The following is a 15264-nucleotide window of genomic DNA, read 5'->3' as shown; positions in this document are numbered from 1 at the left end:
CCTGACATGGTCCCCTGCCTGCCCCCGACAGCCTTTTCTCCTTCCCCAGGTCCCCTGCCTCCCCTCCTCTCCGTGGTCAGCCCTTGCCTCCTTTCCATCCTCCATCCCACATCAAGGCCTTCACACATGCCATTCCATGCTGTTCCCTAAGCCTGAGAAAGCCAGGTCCTATTCAGGCTTTAGGTTTTGTCTTAAATGTAAATTCCCCCAAGAGGCCATCTCTGACTCTCCCATTCTGTTTAGCAAGGGATGGGCAGGGGCGTTGTAATTCCTCATCAGTTCTTTACCTTCCCGCCTACACACACCCCGCTGGGCAGGATGAGTGTCTGTCCACCACCCGCCCACCACCCACAGCTCACTCGCCCAGTGGCCACTCTGTGCCCAGCCCTGTGCCATGCACTTTACATGGCTCATATTGAATTCTCATCCCAACCTACAAGGTAGGTGATTTTCTTTTTCTTCATTTTATAGATGAGGAAACTGAGGCTCAGAAAGGATGGGCATGTGCCCATAGCTTACAGGGGCAGGCACTGGGCTATGAGCGCTGCCCTGTTCTGTCTCTCTGGGATATAGTATCCCAGCACACAGCAGGCACCCAGGAAATGTTCACGGAGTGGATGAGCCAAGTGGCCAGTGAGGGACCTCGGCCAGGCCATGCTGTGGCCAGGGCCGGGGCTACCTGGGGCCCCTCCAGGTCCTGCCCCTGCCCTGCTGAGCTGTGTGCCTCAGCTGCTCCTCATTAATTAGGCCCTTTATTACCTGCCTGGAACAGGAACCAGACACTGCCCCTTCCCAGGCAGGCTGCGATCCAGACTATGGGAAGGCAGCCCCCTCCCCTCCGCTCCGCTCTTCTCTCCTCGTCTCCTTAAGGCCACCCCAGCTGGCCAGGAAAGGAACGGAGGGCACCCAAGCCAGGTGCAGGATGAGAGCAGGCAGGGGCCCAGGTGGTCCCTCCACCCAGGACCCCTCCCTTCCGCCCCTCCTTGTGCTTATGTGCCCCCCCCCCCACCAGCTGTGGCCGTTGGCTGAGTCTCGGCCATTGTCCCGGGGAACGGGGGAGGGTGGGGACACGGCACAGTGGGAGGCTTGTGCCCTGCCCACCCCCTCCCCTGCCCCGTCAATGAGGCACTTGTCAATTCATGCCCCAAACATGGCGGAAATCCCGTCAGCCACGTGGCTGTGGGTAGGGTGGGCCGGGGCCCGAGGATGCTGGCCAGGCTTGGTGGATCTGAACCTGGGGTGCAGAGGACACCAGGGCCCAGGCCTATTTCCGACAACCCCAGTTGCTCTGAGTGTCCTCTCAGAGCATCTGAACCTGAAGGATGCCCTAGCTTCAGGCAGCAGCTGAGGGCCAGGGTGGTAGCAGTCAAGGGACAGCCCACCTGGGCATAACCACGATGCCCAGAGAGACCTCCAGAGTCAAAGAGGCCTGGTTTCTAATGTGGACTTCCCACTTGATGGCTATGACCCTCAGCAAGTGACCTGAGCCCTGGCTTCCTTCTCCATCAGATGGAGCACGAATCCCTGCCATGGAGTGAACCTTAAACGAGGTGACCCCCAGGAGGCCATTCCGCAGTCAGGGTGAACCGCCCTGTTTCCATCTCTCTTAGGACTCCCATCTCCTTTCCTGCCTGCACACCTCCGCCCAGGCTGTCCCCTCTCCCCCAGGCCCCTCCGCCTTGCTGCACACGTGCTCCAGAGCCTCCGAGGGACATCCTCACCTTCTCCTAAGTCCCTCTGAGGCATGGTCAGCACTCTGCTGCTATTCTTACACATGCACAGCACAGTCCAGCCTCCGGGCCTCGGCCCCAGCCATCCCTTCCAGTGGGTCAGCCTTCTGCGACTGCCTCCCTGCCTGCCCTGGCAGCCCCTCCCCATCGCCCCAGTCACAGAGGGCCCCCAGTGCTGTGGCTCATCTCCCAACCAGTTTACATGGGGGCAAGGCACAGTGGCCTCACCTCCTTTGGTTTGGGCTTTCTCTCTTTATTAATATGATCTATGGCCAGGCGCGGTGGCTCACACCTGTAATCCCAGCACTTTGGGAGGCCGAGGTGGGCAGATCACAAGGTCAGGAGTTCGAGACCAGCTTGATCAACATGGTGAAACGCTGTCTCTCCTAAAAATACAAAAATTAGCCAGGCATGGTGGCACGTGCCTGTAATCCCAGCTACTCAGGAGGCTGAGGCAGGAGAATCACTTGAAACCGGGAGGCGGAGGTTGCAGTGAGCCGAGATCGTGCCACCACACTCCAGCCTGGGCGACAGAGTGAGACTCTGTCTCAAAAAAAAAAAATCTATAACTGCTAGCTGCCCTGCTTCAGGCTTCAACTTGTGACCAGAGCCGTCTTAGTCAAAATGCCTTCAGGTCAGATGTTTGCTTGTGCAAGCAACCCTTTGCCTCTCCGCATCAAATCTCAGTTAGCTTGGGCCCAGCAGCCACACCTGACAAAGATGGGGCTCTTGAGCCGTTTTTCTATCAGGTTCTTCGATCTGAGTCACAGTAGTCTTTGTTCTCTCCCAGCTTCTTACCAAAAATGCAGAAGAGCCCCCACAGGCTGCCTACAGAGACCCCTCTCTTTTTTTTTTACCTTTCTTTTTGAGACAAAGTTTCACTCTGTTGCCCAGGCTGGAGTGCAGTGGCACAATCTTGGCTCACTGCAACTTCCGCCTCCTGAGTTCAAGTGATTCTCCCACCTCAGCCTCCCAAGGAGCTGGGACTACAGGCGCCTGCCACCACGCCTGGCTAATTGTTGTATTTTTTGTAGAGACGGGATTTCACTATGTTGGCCAGGCTGGTCTCGAACTCCTGACCTCAGGTGATCCACCTGCCTCGGCCTCCCAAAGTGCTGGGATTACAGGCATGAGCCACTGGCCCAGCCGGAGAACCCTCTCTTCTAGGAGACCCAGAATCTTTAGCCACCCTTGGGCTATGGCTACATCCACTCCAAGTCCCCATGAAGCTGCCGCCCTGTCCTCAGGTCAACATAAGGCTGAACTCACAGCCCCAAGATGCTCCAAAGCCAGGTCCAACAGCACCGAGGCCAGCAGCTGCGACCTGTTCCTACTCTCTCCCACAGGGACCAGGGCAGGCAGGCCACCAGGTGCCAGGTAGAGACCCTGCAGCTTGGGGTGGACACAGGTCTCCACCAGGGTCACCTGTGCCCATCTGTGCCTACACACCGGCGTGGCCCCACGCAGGCACACTGCCAACACACACACATATATGTAAGGGCACACCCTGCAGTCAGGTATCCACTGACATGCGCATGATCACGTACCACCTGCCCCCTACTCACACATACACAGTACTGACACACAGTGGCATGCCCCACACATATACCCACACACATGCGCACACCAGCGTTCATCCGTGTGCCTTCATTCATTCAGCAGTTATTTACTGAGCACCTGTTATGTGCCAGGCAAGCATAGTGCCCAGCTTTGGGGCTACAGCAGTGAGCAAAAGGGACAAAAGCCTTGCCCACATGGAGCTGACATTCTAGGGAGCAGAGTCAGATGACGAGAGCAGCAAAATGCCTAGCATTCTAGAAGGTTCCAGATGGCGGGGACAGCCGGTGCAAAAGCCCTGAGGTACGAGCATGCCTGTGCATGTTCACACCTCAGCACACTTCACAGGTGTATATGCCAGGACACGCATGTACACAAACACTCACTGACCCGACGACAGGCCCAGGCCCACAGGCACAGCGTCACATGCATGGGTTAGGTTAGTGGCCACCCAGGAAGAGCTCCCACCTCCTCTTCTTCCCTCCAAGCCCCCTCCCCGCCTGCTGTCAGACCCTCCCTAAGCAGCTCCGGCTGGAGCCAGGCCCCACTGAGTGAACTCAGTGTCACAGGCACAACTTCCCTCCTCCAAGCTAGCAGGGCAGGGGATGGGGATCCCCTTGCCCCAGCCATAGAGGGAGAAGAGAGGGGAGTGAGGGAGGCCGGAGGGAGATAGGATCCTCAAACTCCACAAAGGAGAGACAGAGGCTGTGGTTGTGCACTCCGGTGGCTGCACGGACCCCGGTCAGCTGGAGGGAGAACTTCCCTCACTGATGCGACCTGGGGCACAGGGAGGACAGAATGTCCGGGAGCCCCCTCCATACTCTAGGCCGGCAGGGGGCTCCGGACCCAACTGTACTCCCCACCCAGGGGCTTTGCCCCTCCCCCCCTCACTCCAGGCCTTGGCACTCGTGGGATCTAACTGCTAACATCACCCAACCTTGACCATGTGAGTGAGGGCTCTGAGGTCTAGAGAGGTCAAGGAGGCTGCACGGACATCACCTGGCGTGGCCACCCGTGCTGGAGCCACCCCTCAGCATGTCAGGAGGAGAGGCCCCTTCCCTGCCCATCCCAGGCTGGCACAGAGCTGGGACCCAGGCTCCAGTCCCAGCTCTGTTGTGGCCACCTTGAGGGAGCCTGACACATCATCGCCTTCCTGTCCTGCCTCACAGTCCCCCTCAGAAATGGGAGGCCGTCACCCACGCTTCCACTGCACCCCAGGACTCCAGGAAGACAACGTGCAAAGAGCCTGGGTGCAGCAGATGAAGTCACAATACAGCCAAGCCCCTCCTCCTTGCTGGCAGCAAGAACAGAACCCAAATCTCAGAGGGGGAGGTGGGGCGGGCCCCACTGGATGTGCCAGGGACCAGGACCAGGCCACGCTGGGCCAGAGCTGTCATGGTTCAGGCCTTGCACACAGAACCACAGAACATGCTCAACAAGCCCCCTAAGCTTAGGGGCACTGACCTACCCTGGGGACCAGTAATCTTCAAGGTAGGGCGCAGAACACCTGCCATGGACCAATGGAGTGTTCACCAGGCCAGGCACAATCTTACCTAATCACCCCAGAAACCCTGGGACGGAGGCCCTGCCATTACAACTGCACTCCCGTTTTACAGATGAGAAAGCGGAGGCACAGCGGTGCCCTGATACGGCCAAGAGAAGCACTGTGGGTAAGCAGGAGAGCTAGGAACAGACCCCAGCTGCCCTCGCTGGCGAATGCACAGAACCATTACATCATCCTACCCCGAGACCCAACCAAGAGGTACCCACACCCCGTGGCAGCCGGGGCTGAAGGCCTGGAGATAGGAGAGGAGGCCCCACATACTCCAGCACCCAAGGCAATGAGAGAAACTGAGGCCCAGGAAGGTGCTAGGTCCGTGAAGAGGAAGGTGGGAAGGTAAGGCAGGCTGCCTGGGTAGGGCGGGGCCACCCAGTTAATGATTCAGTTAATAATTTCTGCTCCCAGTTCCTTATCAGGGAGGGCAAAGTCCAAGGGTGGCAGCCAATGAGCAGCTCTGCTGGGCTGTTACCCAGCAGCCTCTGCTGCCAGGGCCCTCCAGTCTGTAACCCCTTGGGAGTTGGTAATTGGGGAGTCAGGCCCCCAGGGAAAAGGCCATTCTGCCCTCAAATGCCCTCCTTGGCTCTACTTAAGACCCCAAGGAGCACTCTGTCCAGCCTTCCAGTCTCAGGAGAGTCCCTGAGGCCAAAGGGTTGGTAACTGCCTGTTTCTCACCCCTGCACTGACCCCAGGCCCTCCAGAGAGGTGCTTTCTGGGGTGCGTCCCCCACCCCCGCCGCCTCTGTTCACATACCCATTGTTGTCACCATTGACCCGGAGAGCACTTCCTGCCCACCCCCCACCCCTGCCCTGCACTGGGTGCTGGGGACATGGGGATGAGTCAGACCCCCTACTACCATTTCCTCCCCTGCCTGGGCTCAGGAAACCCTGTGCCTGGCCACCCCTCCCATCTACTTACTCCCTGGGTGCACCAGGGACAGACAGAGACAGGCTGACACGGGCCACAGTGCCACCCCCATCACGAAGCCCAGCTCAGCCCCCGGATTCCTGTCCAGGTGGGAGTCCTCTCTTCCAAATCATCAGGTAGTCTCTACCTGGGACCTCCTCCTGCCCTCTGGAGGCAGAGATGTTGGTCCCTGACAGGTAGCCCCCTCAACCCCAAGGTACTGGTGGCAGAGTAGGGAGCTGGGGGCTAGGTGTCCACTCTGGCTAACTCTGGCCAACTCCCTTCTCTCTGAGCCTCAGCCAGCGCCATTCCCCTCCCCTTACCCATCCCACAGCCGGGAAGGGTGGCTTTCAAACCAGTATCCTGGTGCTTCAGGGGCTGTGAGGAGCCCAGCCCCCATTATCCACTGTATCTGTCCTATCAGGAGACTATGAGTTTGTTTGATGGTTAAAAAATCACATTGGAAGCCCCTGCTCTGGTCCAACCCACTTACTTACCCTGGGAGGGGAATGAGGCCAGAGAAGGAAGTCACCAGTCCAGCCACCCATCAGCTTCAGAAGGGGCGAAATCCCAGGCCTCCCTCCTCCAGCCCTGGTGGGGCTCCAGAGGCCGGGCAGAGGCCCACTAAACTCCAAGTGGTCTTTCCAGCACCTGCTGGAAGGCGACTTCCCTCCATCCTCCAAGGCTCCCTGCACACCCACCTGCTTTCTGGGGGACACTGGTTGCTCACTCGAGCCTCATGTGCCCCTAGAATCTAGGGCCAGCAGGCACCCCTTCCAGGCTCGGCCATTCATACTCTAACATGTCTCTCCTTCCCAGGGCTGGGCAGTGAGCTTCTTCAGAGCTGAGGTTCTTCTCTGCCACCCCCTCCTGTCTTGCAGGTGAGGAAAAAGGACTTAAAGAGGGCAAGAGCTCTTTGGGGGTTCCCTGCCAGGCACAGACGGTCACCCCACTCTCAGTGGTCCAGCCTGCACCAGAACTCTGAGGTCCTGGCAGGATTCTCAGACACTGCCCTGTCCCGTGCCTGCCCTGGCTCTGGAGTCCAAAGCCCCCTTATACCATGGCCCGGTTACCTGCTGGAAGCCAGTGCATCCTGCCCGGTGGGTCCCCTCTCTGCAGGCCCTGTGCCCGCCGATCTGGGCTGCCTTGCCTCTCTCTAGGGGATTAGCCGGGCGGTCACGGGGGCCCGGCTGTACCAGCCTCGAGGGGGCCGCTCTGTCCCGGCCTCCCACCTGAGGTCCAAAGCGCCTTAGCCCCCAGCCCACCACCGGCACAGGGCAGGACCCAGCACCTATGCTTGGTGTGTGCCCAGGGAGGGGGACCACGTCAGGTGAGGGGGCGCGCTGTGCTGCAGCCCCTTCGGTAAAACCCTTTCCCAGTCTCCCAGCCCAGAGCCGAGAGCACAGGGACTGCTACCCACTGTCCAGAGGGATGACCAAGGCCAAGTGGGGACCAGGATGAGAGCTCAGGTGTCCCCAGCCCCAGCCCCGAGTGTGACAGCACTCAAGAGTGACGCAGCCACGGCTCAAAAGCACAACTTCCCGCTCCCTCGCACTTCACACACTCACAAGCACACCAGGCCCTGCCACTCCCAGGCCTTCTCTCACACCTACAGTGGGTCCCCCACATGGGCCTTCCCCTCCCAAGTGGCCTGGAGACCCTAGGCCTCAGGGGCCACCCACACCTTCCCCCATCGCAGGGGCTGGGAGCTGTTTCCAGCCCAGCCCTCCTAGACGGGCAGCCTCACACCCCTCCCCTGCTCCCCACAGACATTCTTGAGTCTCCTCTTATCTCTCTGGAGGGAGTAGCGCAGCCTCCCCCCGCCAGGCCGCTGCATGGCTAAGCCGTGGCGTCAGCCCCCACCCCCCAACCCATGGTCAGGAGGGAGCCAGGGAGTCCAGGCCAGCCAGGCCCACCCCTCTGCTCTCTGTCAGGGCCCAGCGTCCTGGGGCAGGCAGTGTGGAGGTCAAGGGAGCCTGGCCTGCGGGTCCTCTGGGTACCTAGCAGGCTCAAGGCACTCCAGACAGTAACCCAAGCAAGCACGAATGTCTGGTCCCCTCTTCCCTGAAGGTCTCAAACCGCGTCAGGCCCCTCGAGAGCTCCTATGGATCAACAGTGTCTGGGGAGAGCCAGAGCCCCGGGACAGATGCAGGGCTGCCTAAGACCCTCAGATGGCCCACCTGATGCAGAGTCAACCATTCAATCTAGTCCAAGCCTGAACTCTTGGGTTCTGGGTCTGTGGGGTGTCCAGAATCCTGGAGTGGGATGACTGAGGCTTAGGGGTGCCCCTGCCTGGGCTGCTCAGCCAGCAGGTGTGAACAAGGGTTCCTGCCTCCCAAGTCACAGAGGGAGAGAAACTGAGGCACCGGAAGACCTGCTTCTCTCCTCCACAGGACTCCACAGGAATCTGGGGCTTGAAACTTGGGCCTTGGTTCCCTGCCCTGTAGCCCTGATAGGTTCACACATGAAGGGAAGGTTCTCAATGCACCAAGGAGCAGGATGTGGCCTTAGGGACTAGAGGGAGCTCGGGGCAGGGGCTGGGCTCGCTGCATTGGTAGACAGGGGCACAAAAGGGGGCCAGAGGGTCTGGCTAGATGTTCCAGGGAGGTTCTGAGAAGCGGAGTGGGCTGGGAGGCAGTCAGCCAGAACTTCCCCTCCCCCTCCCACTGCGGTCCCATCCCTCCAGAACCCAGCACCAGGAGGAGTGGTGGCCCTGCAGGAGGGGCAGGGGTCGTCCAGGAAAAGACAGGGAGTTGGTTAGATGGAGGAGCAGACCTCCAAAACCAATGTAGGGGTGGGGGCAGAAGAAGATATTATGGGGTGTATGTCAATTCCACCCCAGAGGGCTCCTTTCGGTCAAGTGGGGGTGAGGTCACTCTTTGAGGGGGCGAGGTCAGAGAGGCACAGCTCCAGGGTTGGGGGGACATAGTGCTGAGGAGCCTCAGAGGGCTGGTGGGATGCAGTTCACAGCACTAGAAGGGTCTCAGAGAGCAGAGGTGACCGGTGGCAGGGATGTCAGCTTCAAGAAGGTTCCAGCCCCAGGAGAGCATGCTAGGGAGGGGGGTCCCAGCCCCAAACAGGAGAGCAGTCACTAGGCAGCATTGTGGAAAGCAGGTGGCAGTCTCCAAGGGGATCCAGGCTCGAAAGTGGTCCTACCCTCATGGAAGCACAGTGGGGAGGTCCCAGCTCCTAGAAGTCATGGGGGATGGCGCCAACCAGAAGGGCACACAGGGGGTCTTGGTCTCTAGGCGGGGGTCACAGATTCTGGGAAGCAGGCTGGGGTCCAGCCTCAAGAGGTACGGAAGGTCCTAGAAGGCACACCGGGGGTCTGGGCCTTGAATGGGGTTGTATCCCGCTTGGGGTTCTGGGGAAGCAAAGTAGAGGGTCCCCAGACTCGGGAAGTTTGCTGGGGGCGAGAGTGTCACAATTTAGGGAAAGTTCCGGGTCCTGGAAGGCTCAAAGGAGTCCGGACCTGGAAGGGGACACAGTCCCAAGGAAGCTGCGAGTTGAGGAGCGGGGAGGGGGAGCCCAACTTCAGCGGCGGTGGGTGGTAACCGCTGGGGGACTCCCAGCCCCGGGAGCCTGTCTTGGCGGGCTGGTGCCAGCCTGAAGGAGGGTCCCAGCCAGAGGAGGCGGAAACACAGCGAGGAGCCCCAGTTCCCGGGGAGATCAGCCGGGGGTTCCCAGCGCCAGAGGGTCGCCGCCGCCAGCCCGCGGTCTCTCACCTTCGAAGAAGCGCTGCAGCGCCTCCGTCTCGTCCACCACCTCCATGTCCCGCCTGCCCGGCGCACACTCCAGCCGCGGCCCCGCTACAGCCCGGCCCGGGGGCGCGGCATCGCCGGCGCGGCCCGCGCGACAGTCCCGGCTGGGCTCCGGCTACGGTCCCGCCCGGTCCGCCGCCGCGCTTGCCCCCCGCGCGTCCCTGGCCCGGCCCCTGCCCGCCCCACGCGCCCCGCCCGCCGCGCCCAGCGCCCCCTGCCGGCCCGCGCCGCGCCCAGCCCGGCCGCGGGCACCACGCTCCCGACTCCTGCAGGCGGCGCTCAGCGCTGGGCAGTCCTAGGCTTGCGGGGCGCGGGGCCGTCCCGGGTCGGGGGACGCGAGACCGTCCCAGGCTTGAGGGGCGCGGGGCCTTCCCGGGTCGGGGTGGGGGCGAAGGGCCGCTTGGCCTCTGTGGGGTCGGGACTGGAAGGGTGTGCCCTCGCCGTCCTCGCCTTCGTCTTGCACGGGACAAGATGTCACGATTCCGAATCCAAACCTCAGAGACAGCCCCCATCCCTCTCGTTAGCCACCCACACACCCCGCTCAGCAACAATAACAACCTGCATTTAGGGAACGTGTGTTATGTGCCAGGCCACACAGGCATTATCTCATGTACTCCTCACAGGCACCTTATCAAGGAGATGCTGTTGTTACCTGCATTTTACAGATGGGGAAACTGAGGCTCAATGCATTAAGGACTGCCAGGAAGCCCTGTCCTGTGGCTGTGATGATGGAAATGTTCCCTGTGTTGTTCAGTATGGTAGTCACTGGCCACAAGTGAGCACTGGAAATGTGCCTATTGAGACTGAGGAACTGATTTTTTCATTTTGTTTAATTGTAATTAAACAGTTACGTGTGGCTGTGGTATTGGACAATGCAGGTCTAAAAGCTCCTTTTTTTTTTGAGATGGAGTTCGGCTCTGTCGCCCAGGCTGGAGTGCAATGGCGCGATCTCAGCTCACTGCAACATCTGCCTCCTCGGTTCAAGCGATTCTCCTGCCTCAGCCTCCCCAGTAACTGGGATTACAGGCGCCACCACGCTGGGCTAACTTGTATTTTTAGTAGAGACGGGGTTTCCTCATGTTGGCCAGGCTGGTCTCGAACTCCTGACCTTAGGTGATCAGCCCACGTTGGCCTCCCAAACTGCTGGGATTACAGGCATGAGCCACCGCTCCCCGCCCTGCCTAAGAGTTTCAAGGTCATTAAAGTTCAGAGCCAAATCCTGGCTGCCCCGGGAATCCGAACTCTCCTTTGCCGTGGCCCTGTCTGGTATAATGAAACCTGGAGGTTCTAACTCGATATAAGTCCAGGATAAAGCGGTTGTCCTTGTGCCCCTGCCTTCACCCTTATGACTGACTGCCTCCACATCTCTGTCCTGCCCAACTTGCACAGCCTCTCGTCTCACTGATATCCCCTTCAGTTCTCCCAAATCACCCTTTCTGAAACATACATCCGATCATGTCATTCCTTTGCAAAACTAAGTTTCCCTTTGCACTCAAAACAATATCTGAATGTCTTGCTCTGGTTTCTCAGGCCCCGCCTCTACCACTGGCCTCAGCTCTTCCCCTCTCTCCATTGCTCACTGAATAACAGCCACCAAGACCTCCTTGCCATTGCTCAAACATGCAAGGCCTACACCTGCCACAGGGCCTTGGCACATGCTATTCCATCTGTTTACAATGCTTGTCTCCACATGGCTACTTCTTTGTAGCAGTTGGTCTCAGCTCAAATGTCATGTCCCCAACCAGCCTACCTAAAGCAGTTCTCCCTACCTAGGCCTTTCTTGCTCACCATGTAAAAGATTCCTATTTAGTTTCTGTTATTATCCTTCTTGCTCTAGAATGGAAGCCCTACGAGGGCAAGATATTTTTCTGTATCGGTCACTGCTATAGCTTCAACACCAAGAACATGACCTGGCACACAGTAGGTGCTCAATAAATGTGTTGAATGAATGTATGGTGGCATCTTCAAACTACCGAATCCAGTCAGGCTCCAGTGGCTCACACCTGTAATCCCAGCACTTTGGGAGGTTGAGGCAGGAGGATTGCTTGAGGCCAGGAGTTCGAGACCAGCCTGGGCAACATGGCAAGACCCTGTCTCTACAAAAAATTAAAAAATTAACTAGGCACGGTGGCACATGCCTGTGATCCCAGCTACTGGGGAGGCTGAGGAAGGAGAATCGCTTGAGCCCAGGAGGTTGAGGCTGCAGTGAGGCTGCAGTGAGCCATGTTTGCACCACTGCACTCCAGCCTGGGCGACAGAGCAAAACCCTGTCTCCAAACACAAACAAACAAACAAACAAAAATCTACAGAATCCTGGACCTCTGAAACCTTGGGAGCGGATAATTCTGGAATCCCAGACCTAGAGAATCATCCCGCTTCAGAGTGGCTCAACTTGAAGCCTCTCGGGACCCTTCAAGGCAGCACGTAAAAGCTGGAAAAACCTACCCCACCCAACCACTGTTTGACAAGCCACTAAACAGAGGCCAGAGGTGTGGGGGACTGCTGGCAGATCAAGATGCCAACGTAGCCAGCTTCGGACTCTCACCTCTGCCTTGCAGCATCCCCAGGGAGGGTGGGGCACAAGCCAGGCCACCCCGTGGGGATGGGGTGAGAGGCCTGGAAGCCGCTCCCACCCCAGCCTCCCTGTCAGTTCTCAGTGGCCAGCCGTGGGGGAGGGGCAGCCAATGCCTGAGCCCCAGATGTGGCCCAGTCAGCAGGCCCATGGTGGCCCGCCGAAAAGGGTCAATGCCACGACAGTTCTGGGGTTGGGGGAGGGGGTGCTGAGGCCGGCGGGTGCCTCACAATGAGGTTTTGTCCCTCTGGGGGCCGCTCTCAGAGCTGTTGCTCTTAGATATATAGAATGGGATTTTGCTGGAGGCCCCAGCTGTGTGTGCTGACCGCAGCTCCCTCACCGCCCCCGCAGGGGCTGGGCTGAGAGGGGGGAGAGGGGCCACACTGAGACTCCTATTCTTTTCCAGCTGATACACCCCAGAGGTTTTTCTCCCTCCGCAGACTCCCTTAAGACAATTGTTATTCTCCACCCTGCCCCTCCTCCACCCGGGGTCAGGCCTGCCTGCGGACAAAGTAGACACCCGCCTACACCACGCGATTCTGAGAAACGGATTTACATTACGAGTCGCCTGGGACCAGCCACAGAACCAGCTTCTCTACAAGCCTCCACATACCCACGGATCTTTCCTCCGTATCCCACATACTGCATAACTGACCATCATCTAAGTTCTCACCACCATCCGTTGAGCTACACATTGTCCCTGTCCTGGTCAGCAAGGGCTGGAGGTAGAAGGGAAGACTCGTACTTTGTCCCTAACGCCCCAACTCCATTGCATTATAATCAATTAAGAGTATAGATTATTCAATCTCTAGGGTAGCCTTGAAGTTGGAAGGGGTGGAATGGAGCCTCCTGTTAACCCTGTAGCAGCTGACCTGGCTAAGGGAGCTCAGGCCCTGCCATCTCCCCTGTTACACTAGGTCACTGAGCAAAGGAGCAACTGTCCCCAGGGATTTTCATCTCTGGACTGGAGGAAAGAGGTGGCTGAAATGTCCCAGACTCAAGGGCTCAGCCAAGAGTTGAGGCTGCCATCTGCCAACTCCATAATGAAGTTGGGTCCCAAGCAGCGCTGGGGCAGAGGCTGGGGCAGGAAGGTGGCTGGGCCGGTGAAAGTAGCCCAGGGGACTTGCATACAAGGACCTAGGGGGGCCCATCAATGGAGATGAGTCCTCATCTGTGCCCCTGGCTTCTCTACCGAGCCACAGTGAGTGAGGGGCTGAGATTTCAGCCCTAGCCCAGCAGACATGGCTGTCCCCTGTAGCCAGCTCCACCTAGTCCCCAAGGCCTGCCCTCTGTCCTCAGAGGCCTCATCTATAAAGCACACTCAGTATCCCTGCCTTACAGTGGAGGTAAAGTGCCAGGTCAGTGATCAGTAAATGGTGCCCTCTCCAGTTCCAATCAGCTCTCAGCACCCATCACTGTCCCTTGAGTGGGAGCAGGGCCAGGAGGAGGTGGTAGACCGAAGGCAGCACTGGGGAGAGGGATGCTGGCACCTGAGGGTTAATGGGTAATGGGCGTAGAGGCCAGCCCAGGAGAAGGTACAGCCCTGTCCTCCCCACCGTGGGACTCTCCTGGCCTCCTGTGGACCCACACAGCACTGGCATCAGGCCATTTCGCAGAGGAAGAGGAGGGCTCAAAGTGGGGTGAGTGTCAATCCAGCAAGCCAGTGAGGCTGGTGGTCCAGCTTCCCCGGACTAGGGCCCAAGGGCACACCTGAGTGTGGGGTCCTGCAGGGTAGACCCCTTCCTGACTGCAGGGGCACCGGGACAGGAGGGGGCTGCTGCAGGTATTGAGTGGAGCGTGAGGCAGAGTGCCTCTCTAGCCCTTCCCAGCACTGCCCTCTCAAGACCCTCCCCAATGCCACACCCTGGCTGCAGCCCCGGGCAAGCCACAGAGCCTCCCTGGCCTTCAGTTTCTTCTGCCTGTGCTGTGCTCACTGGACAGGATAATTTGCAGACCATTGAGACCACTGAGGGCAAAGAACCTCTGAAAGCCATCAGGTGTGGTGGAGGCCAGAGTCCTAGGCTGAGAGGCCCTGATTCTGGTCCCCAGTCTGTCCCCACCTCCCATGCGACCTTGGGCAGGTCTTCACCCTTGTTTGGCCCGTTTCTGCTTCTGTTCAGTGGCTGTGGGTGAAGACAGGCTCTAAGGCTGGGGGCATTCTTCTATCACTCTCCCCAGCCCCTCACCAAATAGAGCCACTGGACACTGGGGGCCGAGATGGGGGCAGGGTCAGGGGAAGGGAAAGGTCCGGTCAGCTTGGCTGGGTCAGTGCCGAGGCCAGACTCTGCGGCCAAGGCGGGACTGACTGGCTGAACAGCGCCACCTGCTGTGTAGAGGGGGCAGGCCCCACCACCTGGGCCTTCCAGCCACTCCCTAGGCCTCACTGCCCGGAAGCTATGCTGGCCTGGGGTTCCTGGGCTGCACTGGGTCTGGCCAGGTATTTTGCGCCCTCTCAGGAAAGCCCTCAGCAAAGACTTCTAGTGGCCCCTGCATTTCAGTGCTGTCCCACTGGGATCTTCCACCCCTGCCTGCCCTAGCTGTCTGCATTGTTGGGGAGGGAGGTGGGCATGGTCAGACTAGCCTGGTCCCCCAGTCGCCAGCTTGGCAGTCTTGGGCAGCTAATCCTCTCAGACCCCTCAGGGAGGAAGGGGAGGCCAGCAAGCTGTATCTTTCCAGGCTGTAGTATGAACGTGCACCCGCTGGTACATCTCTCACACAGGCAGGACTCCGCAAGTGGCTGCCCTCATTCACAGGGGGCTTCAAGGGTCTTCTACTCCCTCCCTGCAACTCAAAGTGTGGCCCCGGGCCAGGGCACTAGCCGAGCAGGAGCAGGTAAGAAATCTATACCTGGGCCCCACCCCGGACCACTAAACCCGCACCTGCATTTAGCAAGCGCCCCAGTGAGTCATGAGCACCGTGAACTTTGAGAAACGAAGTTCTAACCCAATACAGACAAAGGGCTGGACCTGAACCACCCAAACACACCCTGCGTCTTGTGGGTGAAACGGGCTCTGGTCCCAAGGAATCTGTTTCCCCCTTAGGCTTTCTGTTCCATCCAGGGAACAGTGGCAGAGGCCCCCCCGGCCCCCGGCCCCATGCCAACCCCCTGCTCTGCTGCAACCTCGACATCAAATTTCTACCCAGTCCCCACCTGATGCAAAGACATTCGAGGCAGCCAGC

The 15264-nt window shown here is 59.1% G+C and overlaps 1 protein-coding gene and 1 long non-coding RNA gene across 20 annotated transcripts in view, besides 11 other annotated features; one reads left to right on the top strand and one right to left on the bottom strand.

Annotated features, from left to right (window-relative positions):
• The window catches only part of MYRF (myelin regulatory factor), a 35883-nt gene extending 26252 nt beyond the window's left edge, over positions 1 to 9631 (bottom strand). For 16 of the 19 annotated variants that reach the window (XM_005274222.2, XM_005274223.2, NM_001127392.3 and 13 more), the window contains exon 1: positions 9477 to 9631. In XM_005274222.2, coding sequence (XP_005274279.1) covers positions 9477 to 9522 — 46 coding nt within the window. In that variant the 5' untranslated portion in view covers positions 9523 to 9631. Of the gene's footprint in view, positions 1 to 6824; positions 6890 to 8907; positions 9399 to 9476 lie in introns of those variants that run through there. The other 3 variants (XM_047427530.1, XM_047427535.1, NM_013279.4) reach the window with 3 other exon arrangements.
• Positions 472 to 1228: an enhancer, noted in NCBI's record as "H3K4me1 hESC enhancer chr11:61528511-61529267 (GRCh37/hg19 assembly coordinates)". NCBI's record gives its function as "activates a minimal SCP1, AML or CMV promoter by ChIP-STARR-seq in naive H9 embryonic stem cells {active_cell/tissue: H9 hESC(naive)}" and the evidence as "EXISTENCE:reporter gene assay evidence [ECO:0000049][PMID:30033119]".
• Positions 4219 to 4862: an enhancer, noted in NCBI's record as "H3K4me1 hESC enhancer chr11:61524877-61525520 (GRCh37/hg19 assembly coordinates)". NCBI's record gives its function as "activates a minimal SCP1, AML or CMV promoter by ChIP-STARR-seq in naive H9 embryonic stem cells {active_cell/tissue: H9 hESC(naive)}" and the evidence as "EXISTENCE:reporter gene assay evidence [ECO:0000049][PMID:30033119]".
• On the top strand, positions 4603 to 8238 carry MYRF-AS1 (MYRF antisense RNA 1). The gene is made up of 4 exons (NR_026882.1): positions 4603 to 4778; positions 4904 to 5184; positions 6571 to 6632; positions 7822 to 8238. It is a non-coding gene; the product is annotated as an MYRF antisense RNA 1 (long non-coding RNA).
• Positions 4863 to 5506: an enhancer, noted in NCBI's record as "H3K4me1 hESC enhancer chr11:61524233-61524876 (GRCh37/hg19 assembly coordinates)". NCBI's record gives its function as "activates a minimal SCP1, AML or CMV promoter by ChIP-STARR-seq in naive H9 embryonic stem cells {active_cell/tissue: H9 hESC(naive)}" and the evidence as "EXISTENCE:reporter gene assay evidence [ECO:0000049][PMID:30033119]".
• Positions 4863 to 6215: a biological region, named in NCBI's record as "P300/CBP strongly-dependent group 1 enhancer GRCh37_chr11:61523524-61524723".
• Positions 5016 to 6215: an enhancer, noted in NCBI's record as "P300/CBP strongly-dependent group 1 enhancer chr11:61523524-61524723 (GRCh37/hg19 assembly coordinates)". NCBI's record gives its function as "activates an origin of replication core promoter dependent on BRD2, BRD4, P300/CBP, MED14 and CDK7 cofactors, with strong dependence on P300/CBP, by STARR-seq in HCT116 cells {active_cell/tissue: HCT116}" and the evidence as "EXISTENCE:reporter gene assay evidence [ECO:0000049][PMID:35650434]".
• Positions 5373 to 5422: an enhancer, noted in NCBI's record as "active region_4799". NCBI's record gives its function as "activates an Ori minimal core promoter by ATAC-STARR-seq in GM12878 lymphoblastoid cells {active_cell/tissue: GM12878}" and the evidence as "EXISTENCE:reporter gene assay evidence [ECO:0000049][PMID:35858748]".
• Positions 5507 to 6152: an enhancer, noted in NCBI's record as "H3K4me1 hESC enhancer chr11:61523587-61524232 (GRCh37/hg19 assembly coordinates)". NCBI's record gives its function as "activates a minimal SCP1, AML or CMV promoter by ChIP-STARR-seq in naive H9 embryonic stem cells {active_cell/tissue: H9 hESC(naive)}" and the evidence as "EXISTENCE:reporter gene assay evidence [ECO:0000049][PMID:30033119]".
• Positions 9482 to 9581: a silencer, noted in NCBI's record as "silent region_3398". NCBI's record gives its function as "represses an Ori minimal core promoter by ATAC-STARR-seq in GM12878 lymphoblastoid cells {active_cell/tissue: GM12878}" and the evidence as "EXISTENCE:reporter gene assay evidence [ECO:0000049][PMID:35858748]".
• Positions 9702 to 9841: a silencer, noted in NCBI's record as "silent region_3397". NCBI's record gives its function as "represses an Ori minimal core promoter by ATAC-STARR-seq in GM12878 lymphoblastoid cells {active_cell/tissue: GM12878}" and the evidence as "EXISTENCE:reporter gene assay evidence [ECO:0000049][PMID:35858748]".
• Positions 12519 to 13380: an enhancer, noted in NCBI's record as "H3K27ac-H3K4me1 hESC enhancer chr11:61516359-61517220 (GRCh37/hg19 assembly coordinates)". NCBI's record gives its function as "activates a minimal SCP1, AML or CMV promoter by ChIP-STARR-seq in naive H9 embryonic stem cells {active_cell/tissue: H9 hESC(naive)}" and the evidence as "EXISTENCE:reporter gene assay evidence [ECO:0000049][PMID:30033119]".
• Positions 14241 to 15102: an enhancer, noted in NCBI's record as "H3K4me1 hESC enhancer chr11:61514637-61515498 (GRCh37/hg19 assembly coordinates)". NCBI's record gives its function as "activates a minimal SCP1, AML or CMV promoter by ChIP-STARR-seq in naive H9 embryonic stem cells {active_cell/tissue: H9 hESC(naive)}" and the evidence as "EXISTENCE:reporter gene assay evidence [ECO:0000049][PMID:30033119]".

Source organism: Homo sapiens, chromosome 11, assembly GCF_000001405.40.
Source record: "Homo sapiens chromosome 11, GRCh38.p14 Primary Assembly".
NCBI lineage: Eukaryota > Metazoa > Chordata > Mammalia > Primates > Hominidae > Homo > Homo sapiens.
Note: the sequence above shows the minus strand (reverse complement) of the source record. Positions and strands in the feature narration are given on the sequence as shown.